General features: G+C 38.9%; 1 protein-coding gene across 11 annotated transcripts in view; it reads right to left on the bottom strand.

Moving 5' to 3' along the window:
- Positions 1 to 23050, bottom strand: part of IGSF11 (immunoglobulin superfamily member 11) — a 245464-nt gene that overhangs the window by 65087 nt on the left and 157327 nt on the right. For 2 of the 11 annotated variants that reach the window (NM_001353319.2, NM_001353318.2), the window contains exon 2: positions 16148 to 16297. The exons of the other annotated variants lie outside the window; for them this stretch is intronic. In NM_001353319.2, the coding sequence (NP_001340248.1) occupies positions 16148 to 16297 (150 nt within the window). The remainder of the gene's footprint in view (positions 1 to 16147; positions 16298 to 23050) is intronic. 11 annotated transcript variants of the gene reach the window in all.

The following is a 23050-nucleotide window of genomic DNA, read 5'->3' on the forward strand; positions in this document are numbered from 1 at the left end:
AAAATCCAAACATTTCCTAAATAATTTTTTAGGAGACAGAACAGATACATTAAAAATTTAGCAGATGTGAGCTCTCAGTGCGAAGCATTAGGGTAATTTTAATTTTCTTCTTTCTACCTGTCTACCACTTCTAAAATCCCTGCAAAATGTATGTTATGTTTGGAATTAGGGAAGCATTTATTAAAACATGTTTACTGCATAGTAATAAAATGTCATTTTAGAGGGATGAAAGAAAGATGACGAAAGGACAACTTATTTTATATTCAGCAGTTGGGTGGATGAGTTCTGGGTATGGAGCAGTTCATAGCGTTCAGAAAAGACCAGGCAAGATTAAGGAAAGGTAAGAAAAGGCCACAGAAATGAGAAAAAAAAAAACAGAAGAGTAAAAAGAATTGTTGTGAACAAAACTACAATAGTAGTTAATCCAAGAACCTAGTGTGATGCAAATGTAATCAAAACCCATGTCAGTGAATAAAAAAGGCAGGGGCTAGGATTGTCTTCCCCAGCATAACCCTGCACATAATATACGTATGATCAACAATTACTTAATTAAACTCATCTGAAGGTTAGGGACCATACAAATGTGTGGAGCACTTTCACATGTATTGTGATCTTCACAAATGCCCCTAATAAAATAGGCATTATCTCCATTTCATAGATGAAGAAACAGCTCAGAAAGCTTATATGTTTTCAGTATAAAGTCACATGGCTCTTTTGTGGCAGAACTGAGGTGTTAAAAGGCCCCTGGCTCCATGTTGCTTTTTTTCTACACGACAGCACCTTTACAAGCTTGGTTATTTGGTTTATCTTAATTATATTCTACATAAGCTAAATATCAGAAAAGTATGGTAAGTTTACCAAAAGACATCTAGCCTTTCTGATTTGCATTTCCCTTCGAGCATTTAACAATGTGCTTACTACAGACTAGAATTAAAAAGGTAACTTTCACCTCCATATTATGTATCTTCAGTGACAATTATAAGGATCGCCAGGTTCGGGTTAGCACAAAGGCAACATTACGACAGCATATCAAAGATTATATATTTACCCAAATAAAAAGCAGCCAGATCACTTTAATAAGGGTTAGGTTTGGATTTACGTTTAAGAGAGTCAAGTGAAAAACCATTTGTCACTTCTTATTCTTTATATCTAGTTTATCCTTTCACAAACTGAATGTCCACGTAGCTTAGCCAAGCCAATCTTCCTCTCTCTTTGTCTAGTTTCCATTCCCAGGACATCTTTGGAATGCACAGGGCTCTGCCTGCACAGGAGGTGGTAACACAGCACCACATTTAGAAGAGACAACTGTTCCTACCACTTTCTGTAATTCTACCCAAAAGATAAGCTAAGAAAGGGAAAGGAGAAGAAAGAAAAAAAGATACACCTTCCAAAGTAAACTCAGAATTTTGAAGGAGGGCTCTAATTTAAATATATTGTTATATTCTCAAGTGAGATAAGCTATAAAAGGTTCCTAAACATATGGGGATGCTAAATAAACTCAGCTTCAAGAATTAATGCCAAAAAAAACCAAAAGACTATCTACCCATACATATATATATGTACATATGTATGGAGAGAGATATATATATAATCTTTTAAATAAATGTCCAGATATAACAGTCATAATTTGAGTAAAAAAGTTTATAAAAGCCACTGACCACATGGCATGATCTGCGTTAAATTTTAAATCTCTAATCTTTCTTTACATTCTCTATTACGATTTAGATATAACTTTACAAGATTATGCTGTTTCAACTACATTAACTCTTCAAAACAAAATATTTCACTTTCCACAGCTATTTGCCAATTGAGAGCCCAAGACGCGTCTTTTAAAAATTAAACATAAGCATTTCTAATGGAGCTGCCTCCATCTCCTGCTATTCTCCCCTTATTGCTGTGCCATGTTGTCTAGCCTTCAAATTCCTACTGACTTGTCAGTAGGAATTTCTACTAGTCAGTAGGAATTCAACTTAGAAATTCAGTAGGTCTCAGCTTAGAAATCACTTTCTTAAAGAACCCTTCTCATAAAGGACCACCCTTTCCTGTCCATTTTTCGCATAGTACCCTGTGCCTTTTCTTCTCTGCACTTATTGAAACATGTCAAGTAAATAAGCAAATGAGAAAGCAAGTGAATACATATAGTTGTATTGTTTTCCTCTTTGTAGGAGCTTTTCTATCTTATTTTTTTACTATGCATTGGCAAGCAGTGCCACTGAATGAGGTGGGGATTCCTCCCAAAGTCAGTGCATGTTCTTCTTTATTCTCACAATAAGGACACATTTGCCAATAACTTTAATGTGACACAGGGTAGTTTCCAGTTCACTCCAGTAGGAAAGAGAGAGAGAGAGAGAATTTTTGAGATCTTAACCAAAAAGCACCTCAGATAAGGGTGACTTACAAGTAGGGTACTGTAAAGCTCAAATTATTTGTAAGGTGCCATCTGAGATTTTTAAAAACATCAGATGCATTATATATTTTTATATGTGAAAAATAATACATGTTTTATGGGTCATCCCTAAAGAGAGGCATATGGCCTGCTTCTGCAAAATGGGTTTTATGTTCTTTTCTGGATCTGGGGGAAACCAACGCACGACTAGGGGAAGGTGCTGAACGAGAACAGAGTGACATTCCTGTGTGCCTGAAGCCTCTCAGGTTTCTGTTCCTTCTTTCCTAGGTCTCTTGCCTGCTTTGGGTCCCCAGGGAATTATAGACAATAGCCAGAGAAATTACATGAGAAAAGAAGATCTAGCTTCTCTAAAACCCAATGGGGAAGTACTCTTCTGTGAAAAGGTCCTTAATATCGAATTAAAAAATAAAGTACAGGACAGAGAAAATAAAGTCCAGAACAGGGAAGGAAACTTATCCAAGCATATAAATGAAATACTGAGCTAGAATTTAGGGCAAAACATTCTTCTGAAGCTATGTCAAAAAGGGGATCCTAATTAACAACAGATAACTTAGCAATTAAAAAATATTACACAAGACAGAGCAATAACTCTCTCTTTATCTCTTCGATAACTTTGAGCAAGTGTTAACTAAAGATGTTCAATCTGTGATGCCCATATTCCAGAGGCCCCTTTAGAAAAGTATACCATTGCATTAAAAACACTCAGAGTTCTTATTTAGCTACCTATTTTTAAGTGACATTTGAAAAATTAACACCATCAAGGTTTCTAAAAATAGGCAAGTCAGCTTTGTTGTACTTGTCAGAGACGGGAACAGTGCATCCACCCACTGCTTGCTTCTTTAACTTAACTGCTAGTGTGGTAGAGACATAGAAATACATAAAGAATAAAACAGATAAAGATAAAATTCATCTCATACACATAATGTAAATAGCAATGGCTTCCACCCCATTAATTAATGAGTAATTTTTCAGTATCTGCTCTATGCCCACCATATGCTAGCATTCAAGAGAACACAAGAGAAAAACAGGGTATGGCCCATGTTCCTAAGAAGTTTATCATCGAGTTGGAGAAAAAAAACACTAACAGCCATAGAACAAAAACCAAGAAACAAAAAGCACTATGCAAGTGCCAAGTGGTAAATATTAAAAAAAAATAATAATAATCCAACACTGTAGTGACTATAAAAATAAAGAAAGGTCATAAAATGACAGCTCTGTCAGGGCTGAACCAAGAAAACTGGTAAAGAGGTAGACTGGCAAAAAAAGAGGAAGGAGACAGCTGATGTCTGAATGTAAGTGGGAAAAGTATACACAAAGAAAGAGCAGTTAGGCGGGAAGCTGAGAAGTCTCCCAGTAGACACTAGGCTATGAGGGGACTGGGCTGCGTAAAGGACAGGTTCAGGTTGGAAAACAGCGGGAACAATGAAGCGGACACAGAGTATGAAGAATCAACATGTCCAGGCCATGTATTACCAACAGCCATGGTAGCTTCCCCCGTGAAAAAAGCAAGATTAGAGAGGCTTCACTGCAAATGAACTAGAGCAGCAGGTACTAGGGCAAAGCAAAAACTCAGGTGTGCAAGCAATTGGGAGTTTATTTCTGTACAACTGAACTTAATCTCTGTTTTAAAACTCCTATGCTGCTGAATGGTGAAAATTAAATTTCAGTCAAGTCAGGGTAATCTCAATTTCTGGTTTCCCCTTCCTCATGGGCGCATCTAAATTCCAAAGGATTATAAAATGCTAGATTTGTGTGGTAGAGGAACGGAAGGATGGGTGGAGGTCATCAGCATTTATCCACAAACATCTGTAGCTCTCCTACAGGCAGGTCTACCCAGATCCTTAGCTCCTTCCCTCATCCTCCTCATCTCTGCCACAAGCCTTCTGTCAAGTCTGGCTTTCTGTTGGCTACATCCATGTCCCTCTGCGCATACAGGTATCTCCTCATCACCCCCTAAGTTATCCTTGCCATGGGAAATTTGCAAAGTTGCCACAGGTCCCTCTAACTAGACAGCCATCTCTACTATTCTCCAGCCACACTGGGCACAGGGGATCTGCATGCCACCACCCCAGCTCTACTTTTCTGAGGACAGAAATAACTGATTCTAATTCTTCCAGAACAGCTCCCTTCATGCCTAGAATTTGACATAAAATTCAAAAGTCAAGAATTCAACTCTTCTGCAGTAAGAGATATGCTACGTTTGTCTTTTCCTGAAAAAAATAATTCCTATTTCCAAACAAAAGGGAAGGTATAATAGGAAATAATAATAGGGAGAGACACTGATTAAAACTCCAATTGTTACCACATAAAAATAAACCAGACATAAAGAGGACCTGAACTAGGGGATCTTTGGAAATGAAATAAATATGTATATTTAGAGGTGCTAAATGGAAAAACTGGCATGAATGTTCAATGGGAGTGAAGGATACTACATAAGCAAGAAAATAAAATAAATTCATGGTTTCCTGCCTTTAAGATTATCAGAATCCTGGCATTATCAAAACAGAAGCCAGTTTGAAGTGGAAAGGTTTTGAATTTGGTTTTGAATTATATTCACATACTTTTGTCATTTAAGGTGATGATTTAAAATAGCAGCAAAAAGGATATATTCTAGGAGTTGGTACTATTGTATTCTCAGTAATACACTCATTACTGTGGTTTTCAAATACTACTAGCTTTCAAACAGCTACACAGTTTTACAAAAAAAAAAAAAAAACCACAACTAATTTTAAAAGTTTTTAAAATCTTAAAGCATTAAAATCTGCTTTTCCATTCCCACTTCTCTATTAAATAGTCTTTTCATTTGTAGAAATAGGTACTTAAGTTAATTATTTGAAAAAAAAAATGTTTAGCTAAAAAGACCAAAAATAGTGTGTGGTGTCACAGCAGCATTGGCAGCTGATGCAGAACAGGCAACAATAAAGCTGGCAATAATGAGGTGCCAGCCCCAGCTTGACATGCCCTGCCAAAGCCCAGGGGTGAATCCTGCTGAGCTCTGGAGCTCACAGATGTGCCTTATGCTCCCTCATGAACTAACACTCTGCCCAGATGATAACCTGAAGAAATATAAGAGGCAATTATACTATTAAAGAACAAAAAGTACTAGAATGACTGAAGCATACAACGGGCATTTATGGCACGCTGTATTTACAGGGGCAGAAAGCAGAGAGACATTTTTACATACTACATTATTAGGTCAGCTTCTGTCAGATTAGCAAACTTCAGAGAGTGACAATCTAGTAACAGAAAATAAATACCAAAGGGGAAAACATTTTAGGTTTATGTGTAAACATGAAAAACAGAACACCAAAATTCAGGATTATGCCAAAATAAGAAAACATACCTTAAAATTAAAATCAATGTGGTTTGATTTTAATTTTAAGGTATGTTTCCTTATTTCAATAACATTAATTATCCTGAAAAGAAGTGACTGGAAGGAAAAGGGAAAATAAACGATATGAAAGTATAGTTGGGCCGGGCGCAGTGGCTCACACCTGTAATCCCAGAACTTCGGGAGGCCGAGGTGGGTGCATCACGAGGTCAGGGGTTCAAGACCAGCCTGACCAAGATGGTGAAACCCCGTCTCTACTAAAAATACAAAAAATTAGCCAGGCGTGGTGGCAGGCACCTGTAATCCCTGCTACTCAGGAGGCTGAGGCAGAGAATTGCTTGACCCTGGGAGGCAGAGGTTGAAGTGAGCTGAGATCACGCCACTGCACTCCAGCCTGGAAGACAGAGGGAGACTCCGTCTCAAAAAAAAAAAAAAAAAGAAGAAACTACAGTTGCTGGATAGAAGAAACTTCTGCTCCAGTGCCTTCTCAAATGTTGACTGATACCTGAAAATTTTAGTTTATAATTAAGAATAAAGAATGGCATGTTTAAGATAACATATTCCCAACATCATATTTAAATCTATTAAATACAAAGATATTCAACCAAACCACCTAAAATTCAAATTATTATTGCTTTACATTGAAGACAAATATTAGAACAAAATGCATTTCTATCTTTAAGGAGAAATTCCCAAGTTCCTAAGAACAGAAAGGAAGAACTCAAGTGTATCCTTTCTTTAGGGGGTTGCTCTCACTACATCTTGACCTGAACTTGAGATTTGGGGGTTTATTCCTGTCCTTCTCTCCAATTCCCAAATGGCGAGAACTAAATGGCTAATTATTCCTGTAGGATCCAGACAGATACAAGGATTTGAATGCCTGTTTCCTTTAAGTACTGTAACCTAAAAAGCAAATGGAAAATACTAACCTATAATTAATCTCATATAATTATGTATTTTCAACTCATGCTCTTACCACTTTTTCTATTTTGCAATGTACTTATGACTTCCTAACACACTTACTAGGAGCATTATACTTATTATGCTTCATGTCTATTGTCTTCTCTCCTGGCTAAACTGCAGGTTCCGTAGGGGCAAAGATCTCCTATTTTTTCAGTATATCAGAGAATACTGCTCAATAGTTGCTGAATGGATGATTTTGCATAGTCTATGCAAATTCTGACATCCTATTAATTTGCCATTTAGAAACAATAAAATCCATGTGCCTGACACACAACACATGGGTACAGGGCTGGACAGATAGATCCTCGTTATTCGGGGCAGACACCATTACTAAATTTGTAGAAGCTATAGCTTAAAGCTTGGGAGGTATAATTCAAGGATAAGTGAAACATTTTCAGATATGTAGCCCAGGGTTTCACTTGCATAAACAAAAAGCAATTAAAGAGTTAAGTAGCCCCTGAAGAACTAAAATATAGACATTTTCAATAAAGAATTAACATCTCCCAGTAACACTGGGATAAAGCATAGGCCACACCATAAATGAATAGAGTTGGAGTCAGTGACCTTCAGGTAATGCCAGAACCTGGGTAAATTCTAGACAAAGATGCATGTACTGTGAAGGACATCAAAACCCTGCTCTACGTGGCTGTTTCCACCGGCAACATGGATATCAATTTCCTCTATTATTAATATCTCCTTTTATGTCTGTTCTAACTGCTTACTCGCAGTCTCTCATTCCCACTGTTTTGTTCTCTCTGCTGCTCTCTCACCCAGGATCTCTCATCCAGGGATATGCCCCGCCCAGCAGGGAGCAGAGCTTGTCATATGTATACAGAAGCCAGGCCTCTCTTGCCCATTAGCACATGCCAAGCTCAGCAGTGGCTTGGCACACATAAATGAGTCCTGATCAGAACAGAATGGAGCATGGACATCCCCTAGAATTAACTGTTCTATGTATAAGGCACTGGGCATGCACCCAGAAGCTGAATCCATTCAATGCATCTAGGATAAGTCCCCTCAAAACTAGGGAAAATCATTTTTTCTGTCAAGTGCCTAGGCTGCGTAGAATTTGGTGACACCAGGGCTTTGAAAGGAAATTAAACAAAGGAGTGAAATAAAAACCCAACTCATTTCTCTAACCTGACTTGTCTGAGTTCCCAAAGGCCTGGTGCCACAGCAACTTGAAATACAAAGTGGGGTAAGCCATCCTGATCTCTCCTAAAGGCCTATGCTTCAAGCACTAGCATCAACTTCTCAGCATTGCTACACTATAAAAAACTATGCTAAGTAATGTAAGATCTCTTAAATAAAAATATAACAGAAAATAAGTGGTAGAACACAATTAAGATGGTGAGGTACTGAATTGGACCTTAAAGGATTTAAGACTTAGAGAACCAAGGAGGTTTCCAAACAAGAGCAATCATATGTGCAAAGAAGCAATGGCAGAGATGAACACGACACATTTTAAAGACAGGCAGGACACAGGCTAGTTGAAAATAGGGCTCATCAGAAAACCAAACACCGCGTGTTCTCACTTATAAGTGGGAGCTGAACAATGAGAACACACGCACACAGGGAGGGGAACAACACACACTGGGGCTTGTCAGAGGGGCCGGGGGAAGGAGAGCGTCAGGATAAATAGCTATTGCACGTGGGGCTTAATGCCTAGGTGATGGGTTGATAGGTGCAGCAAACCACCATGGCATACGTTTACCTATGTAACAAACCTGCACATCCTGCACGTGTATCCCAGAACTTTAAATTAAATTTAATTAAAAAAAAAAAGAAAAGAAAATAGGGTTCATACAGAAGAGCTACAGGAGATAAAGTGGGTTGGTCTCTCTTCAGGTGACCTTGAACGTCAAGATAGAAGCATGGTATTGTAGGCAATGTGAGCCTTTACTAAAAGTATTTGAATAAAAAAGAGACGGGGATAGAGCAGTATTTCATAAAAATGTATTTGGTGGACACAAGTAAGTTGAATTGAAGTAGATAATAATCTTTACCTGAGAAAGATCCGTTGGAAGAAAAGGCAACGGTTCAGTATTAGCAATGAGAATCATCACTAATGTGTTGGCAATTGCAATTAAGAAAAGGGCACAGAGAGGGTGATTAGGAAGAACAGTCAGATGTTACGAGAAGCCTCTTCCAGGATTTGGAATGGCATGCTAATCTTACGTGAGAGTCGAGTGGCACTGCAATCTATCCTAAGAATCCTACAGTGGTTTAGCACATTTGTGGTTGCAGTACCTAATCTTCTGGCCCTTCTTCAGTACAAACCACATTCCATGACTGGCTTCCCAAAAGACAGTTTTGTATATCCCTAATTTTGTCTTCTCCTTTAAATTCTCCTTCCTCCTTTTCTCCAAACTTCTTAGCGTTGAAAATCTGGTGTGAGGTTTCCACCATATCACTATACCACAGAGCCCATCTTCTTTCATTCTACAATCTTTCTCTTATCATTTTCTTTATCACTATTACTTTCTTCTTTATCATGAGTTAATCTCATTAAAAATATATTTGTCAAAACACCTAGTTACCATGGTGACAAGAAAGCAACATAACAGATAACAAAAAAAAAAAATTGCCCTTCTCCATTTCCTAGCTTAAACATATCTCAGTTTCTATCAATTTACCTAACAGATTAGGCCATTAATCTCCAGTCTCTCAAAACAAGCCTAGAAATAGCTCAACCCTCCTTCCATGACCAATATACAGTGCAAGCCTCATCCTAATTGCTCTAATTACATGAAGAACATAATGAGATACAGCAGCAGATGGCTACAGATTATATTCTGGAGAAGAAATTCTCCTCTATCTCCTCCTATTGAAGAGATTTTGCCTTGAACAAAAAAATTAAAATAAAATCATTTTGTTCACAAAGCCAAATATATGTTTTTTAAAATGTTATCCCACCACTTTTCTATTTCCTTCAATAATATCTTTCCTTAAAAAAATTTACTCATTTCATATAGATTTTACCATATGTGACAAATAAATTTGTAGCCCTGCTGGATTTAAAAAAAAAAAAAAAAGATGTGCTCATAGAAAGTTGTTAGGAGTTTATATATTGAATCATATACTTCCACAAACCTGAACTATAATCTCAAAGATATGCTCTATCAAATAACGAATTTGTGAGGGGGTCTTTAATTTGAGCCTAAAAGTCTCTATCCAAAACACTGTTAGCCCCAGCTTTTCACAAAAGATGAAGCATCAACTCTTATGTTCACTGCAGCACTATTCACAATAGCAAAGACATGGAATCAACCTAGGTGGCCATCAACAGTGGACTGGATAAAGAAAATGTGGTACACATACACCATGGAATACTATGCAGCCACAAAAAAGAATGATATCATGTCCTTTGCAGCAACATGGACGCAGCTGGAGGCCATCATCCTAAGTGAATTAATGCAAGAACATAAAACCACATATTGCATGTTCTTATTTATAAGTGGGAGCTAAACATTGGGTACATATGGACAAAAAGATGAGAACAACAGACACTGGGGACTACTGGGGGGCAGGGGGAGGAAGTCAAGGGCTGAAAAACTACCTATTGAGTACTATGCTCACTACCTGGGTGACAGGATCATTTGTACCCCAAACCTCAGTGTCACAGGATATATCCATTTAACAAAGTTGCACAGGTACCCTCTGAATCTAAAAGTTGAAATTAATAAAAATTTTAAAAAAAACAGAACATGAAACCGATACATGAAATAGAAGAGACAGCCTTAACTAAATTCAAGTTATGTGTTCCCAGCCCAGCCCTAAAGGCAGTTTAAGCTGTATGCATTTCATGGTTTGGTTATATGCCCCAGTAAATTCCTCTTTCTAACCTTAAAAAAGAAAAAAAAGATGGTGTGTCAAACTTCCAGCCACCATTTTAATAATCATCACTTCAAAGTCAATGTCCAAAAATGAAGTCAATGTCTTCTCCTTAAAAATTAGTTTGTTTTCCCAACTTGTTCTTTTTTGGCTAATGGTAACAGGCTCAAACCTTGAAGCTATCTTTTCTAGTTCTCATGCTATTGTCTGTACTTTCAAATAGCACCTTGTACATAGGAAATCCCGAAGGCATGACCCCAAAACCACCATCATCATTGAAGTGCCCAAAGCTCTCTTCACCTACTTCCCAGTATCTCAAAGTAGGAATCTACCACTGCTGCCATGATCTGGGGTTCCAAGGAAGTTTCCATGCTGCTACAGCGAGTACAGGAAAGGAGAACAAAACTCCTGCTACCAGGGAGACTAGAGATAGAATCAAACTTTTATTCTAGTCTGAAGATAGTGAACATTCTGAAAACTGGAAATAGGCAACCCTTCTTCCCCGAAGTTATAAGCCACTTGCTTCATTCCTCATATAATTTCCATGTGGACCATATTAATGTATCAAATGTATCAAAGTTCCTACTACCATGGCAATCTACAGTGGACCAGGAGAGATATGAAAGATAACAGGAGAGTCCTTCCTTCATTTGCCAACCCCCATAATGTAACATTCTAACCTCAATATCAGAAATTACTTTTCATAATCATATTTTCAAAAATAGTCATAAATTCTCTAAGAAGTGAACTTCCTGTCACCCACTTCTGTAGGAAAAAAAGAGATACTGAATTTTACCAGCTGCTCTTAGGGGTCTAAGCCAGGGCATGTTCATTTATTAATGGAAATTGATATGTGAAAAAATATTTGATCCACAGCATTAGGACAGTGATCATTTATCCCATATTTCACTTTATATTATCATAATGTCTGCTTTGAGAAAATGGCAGCAAGAAAACACATATTCCCCAGATTTTCTTTTAATGTTGCCCTGGCTTGGATCTCTAAGTAAGCCACCTAAATACTTGATTTGGACACTCCTGGGAGGGTGAGCTCAGAGGTCCCAGCACCTTGGTTTGCATAAGTTTATTTTTTGAGGTCTATTTCTGTTGCCCTCAGACAGGCAGCAACAGCTTGCAGGGCCCTTGTGGCTAAGGGGCAGGACCACATTCCTCAGTGCCCCACACTATATCTGGAACCTCTGAGGCATGTTCTAGTTTGGTCTTGGGTATTAATTCTTTAAAAAGACAATGTCCCAGCTTCAAGATGGCTGATTAGAGGCATCTCCTAATGTCTACTCACCTCCTCCACTAAGAAGAAACAAAATAGTGAGGAGAAAAATCACACTTCAAATAGATCATCCAAGAGAGAACACTGAAATTCAGCAAAGTGACAGGAAACATCTAAAGCAAGAAAGTAGAGGGAAATGAGGTAGCCTGCTCAGCAGGGATCATCTTGGAACTCCCCAGTGTGGAGAACGGGTGAGAGACCCCAGTGGTCCACATTCCCATCATGGACTACAACAATCCTAGCCAGGGGAGAGCCCTTTGACCCTCAGAGGCCTTGAAAGTAACATAAGGTGTGCCCTAGAAACCACACGAAGGCACTGTTCCAGACCGGGAGCTCACATCGAGTCCCACAAACCCGAGTCCTAAGCAGCTGCAGCACAGTGCCATTTTAAGAGCCTAGCCCACAATGGACTACGTCCTGCCCTGCAACCAGGCCCAGGTCAAGAGTCTAGAGCAACAATCCCACCCCCAGCCCAACAGAGGGGCGGCCATGCATTCTCATGCATCCTGAGGACAAATTCCACTGCCCACAACCACTGCAGCTACAGACTGCTGTGGGCTGAGGTGCAAGAAAAGCCCACACCCTCCAGCTGCCTGCCTATGGCTGCCCCCAGGGAAAGCAACCAAGCTTTCTCTGATAGCAGGTCCACAACACAGATGTTGCTGCTTCCACCTGAGCACACCATCCAGGAGCTTGGAGACTGCCTGATCCAGTCCACTGCCCGTGGCACCTGAGCACTCCTCCCAGTGTCTAGGATCAGGTCCACTCAACCTGCTATTACCACCAGAGCCGGCACCCACCCCTCACATGCTACCTGCAGGTCTTCAGCCCACCCAACTGGTCACAGCCACTGCCAACACTAGCACAGACCACTTGGGTTTCAGAGGATTGTCTCACTGCTGCCACTGCCATTGCTCATGCCACATCCACTGCCAGGGGCTCAAGAACTCTTCCACCCACACAGCCCACCACCGCCATCCATGCCTGGTACCTCAACAATCCACCTGGAGGCAAAGAATAAGCCTGCCTGGACCCGCTAACACTGGTACCAATGTATGCCACCTTGGGCCCAAGGGCAGGCACAGTCAGCTCCCTGCTGCCACCACTGAAGCCTGAAGACTGGCATCCCGGATCTCAGCACAACTTCACCACAGCCTTCTCTGACAACTGTACCCTAAGCCGCCAAGAAAATCAGACACCACTGATGCTGTTTATAGTCAAAGAAATCATACAGACACTGCACTATTGCATGTACCCAGAATCAAGCCAAAGTGCCCTACCCAACCGACACCATATATTCATCTTCAGGAAAAAGTCCTCCCCTATGAAAGCAAAATCACAAAATTGGAAGAAGCAACTGTTACACCAGATGCACAGATACCAATGTAAGGACACAGAAAACATAAAAATACAAGGAAATATGAAACCTGCAAGGGAACACGTTATCCAGCAATAAATCCCAATCAAAAAGAAATTCATGAAATCTCAGAAAAAGAGTTCAAAATGTTGAAAATGTTAAAAAAGAAAACCTCCCTGAGCTATAAGATAACTCTGAAAAACAATACAAAGAAATCAGAAAAATAATTCAGATGTGACTGGGAAATTAACCAAAGAGATAGATATAATAAAAAAGATATAAATAGAAACTCTCAAGAATTCATGGAATGAAATACAAAATACATTCAAAGTTTTAATGATAGACTAAACAAAAGAAAGAATATTAGAACGTGAAGACAGGTCTTTTAAAATAACACAATATAAATCAATAAACAAATAAGAGCAAAGCCCTCATGACATATGGGGACACAATAAGGCAACCAAATATTCAAATTATTGGTGACCTAAAAGAGAATGAGTTAGAAAAACTATTTAATAAAATAACAGATGAAAACTTGCCAAGTCTAGAAAGAGATTAAGACATCCAGATACAGAAGTTCAGAGATCTCCAAATAGGTACAATGTAAAAACAATATACCTCGTTAATACATGGTGCTGGAAAACTAGATAATCATGCAAAAGAATGAAACTAGAACACTATCTCTCACCATATACAAAAATCAACTCAAGATGGATTAAAGATTTAAAAGTAAAACCCAAAACTGTAAAACTACAAGAAGAAAATTTACGGAAAACTCTTCAGGACATTGGTGTAGGCAAAGATTTTATGGCTGAGACCTAAAAAGCACAGGCAACAAAAACAAAAATAGACAAATGGGACTATATTAAATTTAACAGCTTCTGCATAACAAAAGAAACAATCAAAGGAGTGAAGAGGCAATTTCTTGATTGGAATAAAATATTTACAAACTATTCATCCAACAAGGGACTAATATCCAGAATATGCAATCAACAGTAAAATATTAATAGCATGTAAAAAGAGTCAAAAGACGTACATAGAAATTTTCAAAAGACGACATACAAATGGCCAACAGGTATACAGAAGAAAATGCTCATAACTAATCATCAGGGAAATACAAATCAAAACCACAATGAAGTATCATCTTACTCCAGTTGGAATGTCTATTAATTAAAAAAAGCAAGAAATAGCAGATGTTAGTGAGGATGTGGAGAAAAGGGAACTCTCACACTGTTGGTTGTAATGTAAATTAGTGCAGCCACTATGGAAAACAATATGGACATTCAAAAAACAACAACAACAACAACCACAAACAGAACTACCATACAATCCAGCAATCCCACTACCAGGTATTTATCCAAAGGAAAAGAAATCAGTCTTTCAAAGGGTCACCTGTACCCTCACATTCACTGCAGCACTATTCATAGTAGCAAAGATATGGAATCAACCTAAGCGTACATCAACAGATGATGAATAAAGGAAATATTTTATATTTATACAATGGAAATCTATTGACCATAAAAACAAAGGAAATCATGTCATTTGTCACAACACAGATGGAACTGTAAGTCATTATGTTAAGGGAAATAAGCCAGGCACAAAAAGTATTATGTGTTCTCACTCATACATGGGAGCTAATAAAGTTGATCATATGGAGGTAAAGAGTGGAACAATAGATACCAGAGACTGGGACGGATGTAAGGGTAGAGGGTGGAAGTGAGATAAAGAGAGGTTTGTTACAGGGTACAAACATACCATTAGATACAAGGAATATGTTCGAATGTTTGATAGCAGAGTAGTGTGACTGCAATTAACAACAATGGTTGTATTTTTCAACACAAATAGTAGAGAGGAAATGAAACGTGCCCAACACACAGAAATGATAAATACTTGGATGACGGATACCCTAAATATCCTGACTTAATCATTACACATCTATGCATGTAACCGAATTTCATGTATGCTCCATTAATATGTACAAATATAATGTATCCAAAAAATTTTTAAATATTTGATTTGTATTTTTTCTCACACTTTATTCTGGTATTTCTTTTTTATCTTCACAATGAGTCAACCTAAGAAGTACATTTTAAGAAGTCACATTTTCTTGTTAAGTGGTTAAAGATACTTGAAAACTCATTTCCCAGGAATCAAACCCATTTACCACTTTATGTGGTATGTGAGGGAAGCAGAGTAACATCTGGGACAGTGGTTTACAACACTTTGCCACTCACCAAGTTTCACCTCAAGGATCACTTGTGTTTATGAGTGAGCTGAGTTCTAACTACATCTTCCACTGTAGCAAATTCTTATAATTATTTTATGTTGCTTTGGCATCCATTTTATTTTATTTTATTTTTATTTTGAAACAGGTTCTCACTCGTCACCCAGGCTGGAGTGCAGTGGCGTGATCTCAGTTCACTGCAACCTCCACCTCCTGGGTTTAAGCAATTCTCCTGCTTCAGCCTCCCAAGTAGCTGGGACTACAGGCACATGCCACCATGCCTGGCTAATTTTTGTATTTTTTGTAGTAGAGATGGGGTTTCACCATGTTGGCTCAAACTCCTGACCTCAAGTGATCTGCCCACCTTAGCCTCCCAAAGTTCTGGGATTATAGGCATCAGCCACTGTGCTCAGCTTTTGGCATTCATTTTAAACATAAGTTGAATTTCTTTCATATCAGAAGGAAGGGTAAGTCATCCCTGACACAGTTTCCAGTTCTTCACCTCTTCCCTGTTCCTCAATGTGATTGTTCCAGACATCTCCCTTATATAACTGCCTCCTGGTGACCACTTCCCTGTGGGACAGCTAAACAGAGCCTATTAGACTTGCTCCACTGACCTCCACACCCCATACATACTGTGCAGATATGCCACAGTGACCTCCTCTCAGACACAGCATGCCTACATAGAACTTGTGCCTGCTTCCTCTAAACCCACCAATTAGAACTCCCTGTGGGAAACTTACTTGGGTAACACGACGGACCCCAGTAAAGACTTCGACCCACATGTCTATCTCTTTCTGTCTTCTTCCCAACCGCCAGTTGAGAGTACATGTCCTGGATGACTCCCCTTCCTCCTGCTGGCCCTGAGGTGTGCTGCCCTCTTCTTTCTGGGTCTGTAAATAACATACACTGCTTGTTATTTCATGCCTCCTCTGTGTCTCACCCGACCAACACAACCAAACCTAACTCTCTGCCCAGTCATGGCTCTCCTAGAGAGTGGCTATCTCATACACTGGACACAAGTCAGGCACGAACCACAAAGGTACCTGCCAGTATATTCAAGTTCCCTGTAAGAGGGAAACCTGGTCATGAGTTAGACACTTAGGTTAGACTGTCCACCGGGATAAAGAAGTATCACGTAAAGCCACTTTGTAAGCATCTAAGGCCATCTCCCTTGGATCTCCACCAGGGCAGAGCTAGAGTTTCTAGCAACTCTCCAGAGAGAGACCACAATACCAAATTAGAGGAAAATACAACATCCACTGTGCTTCATTCTTAGCCTGCATTTAAAGCCCCCTCCTTTCCTCAAAAACTTAATTGGAACTCTTACGTTTTCTCCTCCATACCCTTTGATAAAATCTTCTCCCAAAAAAAGGAGCTGATAAACTCATTCACTAATAAAATTATTAATGACCACTCCAGAATATAACTGTTTCCCATTTAGAAAGATGTTAAGAAGCTTTAAAGAAAGAAAATTCTATTATAGGATATGGGACAATAAAAAGAAGGACAAAGGGTTTTATCACCAAAACATGCATTTACATAAAACCCATTTCAAATAGAAAAATTAATGTTCCTTTTTTAACCTTGTTTCTGTTTCTTCAATAAAATCCTCCCTCCTCCTTAATATCATTAAGGAGGATATCTTAATGAATACCTTAATTCACTGAAAAGGCCTTCTCCTAAAAATGACCCCTCGACAGTTTGTTTCATTTAGTATTCATCTACCAATATTAGTCATATTAATCTACATAGGCTAGATTATGCCTTGACAGCACAATGACAAACTCGCAGCAGTTTTACACAAAGTTTATTTCTTGCCCATACAATGTCCTATATGCATTCAGAAGCTAATTCCAAATGGTGATTTAGAAATTCAGTCTAGTATCACCTTGTGAATCCATCATCTCAACATGCAGCCTCCACAATCCACATGGCAAAGGGCTTTGAGTCATAAATGACACATATCACCTCTACTTTTAGTCTACCAGTTAGAATAAGCACATAGCCCCAACATAATTGCAAGGAAGGCAGAAAAAAACAGCTTAAGTCTGGCTCTAAAGATGAAAACAAAACAGGACTAGGTGAACATGTAAGCACTGCCTCTGTCACAATAAGATATTAACTGTATGTATAATTAACTAACATGTGCCTGTAGGTCTTTATCTGTATTAACATCTTTGATATTCACAACTAACCCAAGAGATAGGTATTATTAATATCATCTCCAGTTTACAAATAAGGAAACTGAGGTTCAAATAAGTTAAGTAACTTACCTAAGTGTGTAAGTGGGCTAGCTGAGATTCAAATCTAAGAAGTGTGCTCCAGAATACATTATGGCATACGGCTTCTCAAATATACAAGACACAGTTAAGGACACTGGCCCTCAAATATGTGTAGAGCTGTCATATGAAAGAAGGGTTTAGATGTAGTCTATAAGTCTTAAGAACACAAAATAAAGACGTAATACTGAGATTAAAATGTAAGCAGAGTATTTCTGAGTACCTCCTATCACCCAGGCACCATTCTAGATATTGTACATATATCCTATCCATGCATCAAAACACTTCAAATGAGGTGGGTATTATTATTCCAGTTACACAAATGAGAAAACAGACTCAGAGAGACTAAGTAACTAGCCTAGGGTATTACACAGAGCCAGTATTTAATCCCAAATCAATCTGGCTTCAGAGCCTAAGCAATTTTCCACTATATCTCACTGTTAGTTATTCAATATAGACATAGTAGATGCAAATCCCACTCCATAAATCACAGGGGTAAAAAAAGTAATATAATTATTTTTATTTTTTTCTATGTCTAAACAATTTCAGTTGTGACCCCAGTTGAGAGGCAGAAACTTAATCTTGGCACATTTCCTCTCAGGTCTTTCTGCTTTTTTAGCTTCCGTCAGTGGGTGGGGTAAGTCATGGTAGGGGGAAGTCCACTCTCCTCTAGAATTTATCAAACCTTCCTAGGGGGTTCAAATACAATCCCACTATCTAGATTCATTCAGCCCCCTACCCAGCTCTCCTTCCTCTTCTAGTCTATAAAATCTTTTTTCTTGACTTTTGTTTTTTCAAACTCAGTCTTATAGCCAGATTCAGGCTTTGTAATTTCTGAAATTCAAAAAAAAAAAAACAGACATTTGCCTCTTTTTTACATCCTGCTGAAGTATCCTTCCCCTCCCCTTATAACCAGAAAAAGCAAAGCCGTCAGAAGGTTGCAGAAAATAACAGGGACACAAAGCACATTGGTTAATGTATCATGATATCTCCATGTTATGTAAGGAAGGCCCTTCAACAATTAATGTTGCTGAAAATGAAATGAACTATATGAGATCATGAACCTCCCAGTCAATACAAAATGTATCTAAGAAAAGAACTGCTGGTCATGTAGCCAGAACATTAAAGAGGTTTAAAAGATACATATGAATTGGGAGTAGGGTATAGTGATTGGATCTGGGATGTTTTACCTTAATGGATAGAAAAAAATAGAAAGAAGGGAAGGAGGAAGACAGACAAACCCATAATTTCAAGGGAGCCAGAACAGAATGGCTGATTTTCCATGTAAATTCAAATGAAAGAGGGTAGGAAGAGACAGGTTACCATAAATCTCAATATTGACAAGAAGATAATTAAGGAAAAATATGTATAGAAAGTAAAGGAATAAATCAAGAACATCCAAGAATATGATTTCCTAAGATCTCCTGAAATAAAATGAAGTGTACCCTCCACGCTGAGACAAGAGGAGGGAAAGGTAAGGGAGCAAGGTGAAGGTGTAGAAGATTATCCCAAAAATGCAGTGCTGCAAAAACTGACTGAAAGCTGCCACTCAGTGACACCTTGATTCTGATCTAAAACCACAGAGCCCTTCCAGGAAAGAAAAGGCAGGATGAGTCATGTGAGAAGATAAGAAGCCATTGCCACCAAGGCATTTACATTTATCCCTTCCACAGCCTAAGGAATACATCCGGACTTTTTCTAATAATTTTCTCTAAACTTCTGTCTGAGATCTAATAATGAAATAATAATAATAATAAATTACTTTAAAGCACTCCCAGAGGCATCAGAATATATGCTGAGCCACATTAAAATGCAGCTTGGAGTTATGTAAAGTATCACATTAAAATTTAAAACCCTTCAAAATTCAATCTTGTTTAATTTCAAAGCTATATCTCAAATCAAAAGGCACTATGGGAATTGAAAGAGAAAAGGGAGATAACAATATTCTATCTCCATTAATGAGAGAACTGAGGTAGGAGGGAAGGGGGGAATCTACTGGATATTTTTAACGACAGCTTCATTTGTGACATATTCTAAATTTCTGTCTCTGTCACAATGCAAAGACAAGGGGATCATTCTACTTGTTGTTTCTAACGTCACTGTCATCAGTGAAGACTAATGTTCAAAAGCTGTGTTTCTGGCCTTGACCTCTGTGAAGCCCCAGACCTACCTATCAAACTGGCTGCCGGTCTTCCCTCCCCTTGGATAACATCCCACAAGCAGAACAAATTCAATTTGTCTGAAACTGAATTGATCATCTTTTTCCCCAAATCTGATCTTTATTTGCCATTCCAATTACATATACCCAACAAAAGAACCTAAGAGTCACCCTTGACACTTTTTCATCCTTTACAATGAAACTATCACTCATTTTACCTCCTAAATTGGTCTCCTCAATTAGTCTCCTCCTCTTTATCCCTCTGCCATTTGCTCTTTCAGTTTAGCCCCTTATCATCTCTCCTCTGAACCCCTGGCACCAGCTTCTTGATATGTCTATTCCTCCTTCTCCCTTGTCTTCCTGAGCACCAGCACCAGAGTGATTCTTAAAAAATGCAAATTTGATCTTGTCACAACCTCAGTATAGAGCCTTGAAATGAATGGCCCCCATTCTTTATAGGATATAAGTCAAGTTTCTCAGCACGACAAAAAGGACTTCCATGGGCTGGCCATTAACAGCTTCCCCTCCTGCCACTTGCCATGTCACAAACTGCAATTAAGCAAGCCTGAACAATTTGCAGTTACACTTGTTAGGCAACTTCATACTTTATCTTCCCTCATGTACTTCCCTCTGCCTGGAATGTGCGCCCTCTCTTCAAGGAGCCACAGTTCAAAAATCCATTGCTTTACCTCCCTGACTTTGTGCCACCCCTCACTCCTCTCCCGCTGAATGAGAGCAAGTGCCCTCTACCTTACGTGCAGAGGAACCAGTCATGCCTCTAAAGCACCCATCGCACCCCATTTAAATGTCTATTCACTCATCTGTTTTCCTCATTAGACTGTAAATTTCTAAAAGAAGCTGCCTTCTCCACTCACAGTGCCTGGTATGCAATAAATGTTCATTGAACTGAACTGAATTTTATTCATTAAGTGCCTCAATTTCTGCTTTATACTATCTGTAACATTTTCTGTTAGTTTCTAATATAGGCACAAGTGGGGAATTTATAGTAAATAATAATTTGTATGCTCAATTTAACAGGAAAATGGAAAGGAGCTTTTACTAAAGTGTTCTCCAGGTCAGCAGTGCATGGTGCCAAGTACATACTTTCACCATGTTATTTAATATGTAATATAGCCATGCATGTTAAGCAGTGGCTATAGTCTGTTTTCACAGAGAAGGAAACTACAGCTTAGAGGGGATAGTAAACCCTTCCAGGATTTTCTAGCTGGAAAGGATGGGTTCATATTGAAATATAGGTTTTACATGTATACACTAGTGCTTCTCAGGTAAGAAAGAGAAGAACACAGAAATTGAGCAAAAAGAAAAGGCAATACAAAGAATAAATAAAAGAAAATTTTCTAAGTTCTCCTCCAGTCTCACAACTTCCTCTTTTCTCCACATCCCTCAGCAGAATATGTGACTCTGGGTAATGAGGTCACTCTAAGACCATGGCTGTTGCTTAGAACACAGCGGTAAAGGAGAGTTATGGTTAGCAGTTCCATAAGGTTAGGCACTAATTAGATTCATTTATCTAGACATCTGTCCACTAAACCCTTGCAACCTATCTCACAAACACATGGACCAGGAAAACGTGTGGAAGCTCAGGTTAAATCCATCACCATCCTTACAAATACAACTGGAAGTACTAACCTTCCTAATGGTGCTTCCACATTTTGGTATTTGAAAGATACTATAAAGAGGTACAAGGCTCAGCTCTGCGAATGGAATGCAAAATAGAATGCCTAACTAGAAAAGTGAGGCCAGATAAGTGTGAGGGTTATTTCTTGTGTTCATCCCAGAGGATGAGAACACCTCTCCTCCAGGAAATGGGTGAGGACAAACTGCCTCTCACACGACACCCACATATATTCTAGGTTTAGGGACACTGGGAACAAATGGTGGACATTGAGAACTATGAGGTGGTATGAATCAGGGCTTCAAGCTCAGGAGTAAGGACTAAACCAAGTCCAAAGCCTGACACTTCTAGAAGTCCTGCCTAGTAGTGTGGAGCCATAAAAACAAGCCTGGCCTAGTCAGTGGAGGTAATCTAGTACCAATAAAAATTGCTTCTGCTGCTAAACAATGTTTGGAGCTCATCACTCAGAGAGTTAAAAGGGCTACGATTCAGGGACACCAGGCAAAGAGCCCAACATCAGCAGCCTTGAAAAAGACAAGGAAGAAAAAATGTAGCAGCAATTCACTAGGCATGTGACTTGAGATTTGGCAGGCTGCCTTGGCAGGGCTGGACAGTCTGTGGGCAGAAAATTCACATATTTTTTTCCTGCAGCCAGAAGCCAAGAAGGCACAGACAGACGAATACCAACTCAGATCCTTCAACAAGCTAATAATCAATAAGACCTTCCTAAGGAGAACAATGAATGAATAACCACAACTTTCATCTGTTTTACACATGCATATGACTGATCACCATTACTCCAACTGGGCTTTATTACTTTTACAACCTTAAACAGTTCTGTAATATATTAATTGGATATCAATATGCAACCAATCCAAGTTTTCTCACCTGATAGGCAGACTGCTAAACAAAGGTCTGAAGCAAAAGCAAGGGACAGAGTTCAGCTCAAGTCAACCAACGTTAATAGGGCATGAATTAAGACACTGGGCCAAGAGCAGCTAATACAAAGATGAATAAGGTATCTTTGAGGAAAGTACAGTATACTGTAGGAGGAAAAAAAGCAAAGAGAATGTCAATATAATATCCTAATTGCTGGCACAGTATGTACATGATAGTGTATGAAGATCACTAGCCAGGGTTAAAAGACCACAAGCAAAGCAAGCAAATGTCAATTAACCCCTGTGAGGACTAAAAGGAAGAGTTAAAAAGCTACCCTAGAGATAATTCAGTCTGGAATTCAAATGAGGACACATGTTAAAAAGGGAGTATGACCTGCCCAGAGTCATACAGTTAGTTGCAAAACCTAGGCTGGAACTCAGGTTTCCAGCGCTTTCCACCATAGCAGAACACTTTTCCAAAATCACAGGAAATTGGGCAAGTTGCAGCCTTCCGAAGCTGGGAATATGACTTTCAAAACTGCAGATTCTAAAGACATATTGATTAACGATCTTTGATTAATGATCTGTGAATGAGGATGGGGGAAGTGCATGGCAGCTGGCTGTCCTCGGGGTGGGAAACTTGGAGGACAGAATGGCATCTGCATGTGGTTTGTCAGTAAAAACAAAAAGCT

The sequence above is a fragment of the Homo sapiens genome, chromosome 3 (genome assembly GCF_000001405.40).
Source record: "Homo sapiens chromosome 3, GRCh38.p14 Primary Assembly".
NCBI lineage: Eukaryota > Metazoa > Chordata > Mammalia > Primates > Hominidae > Homo > Homo sapiens.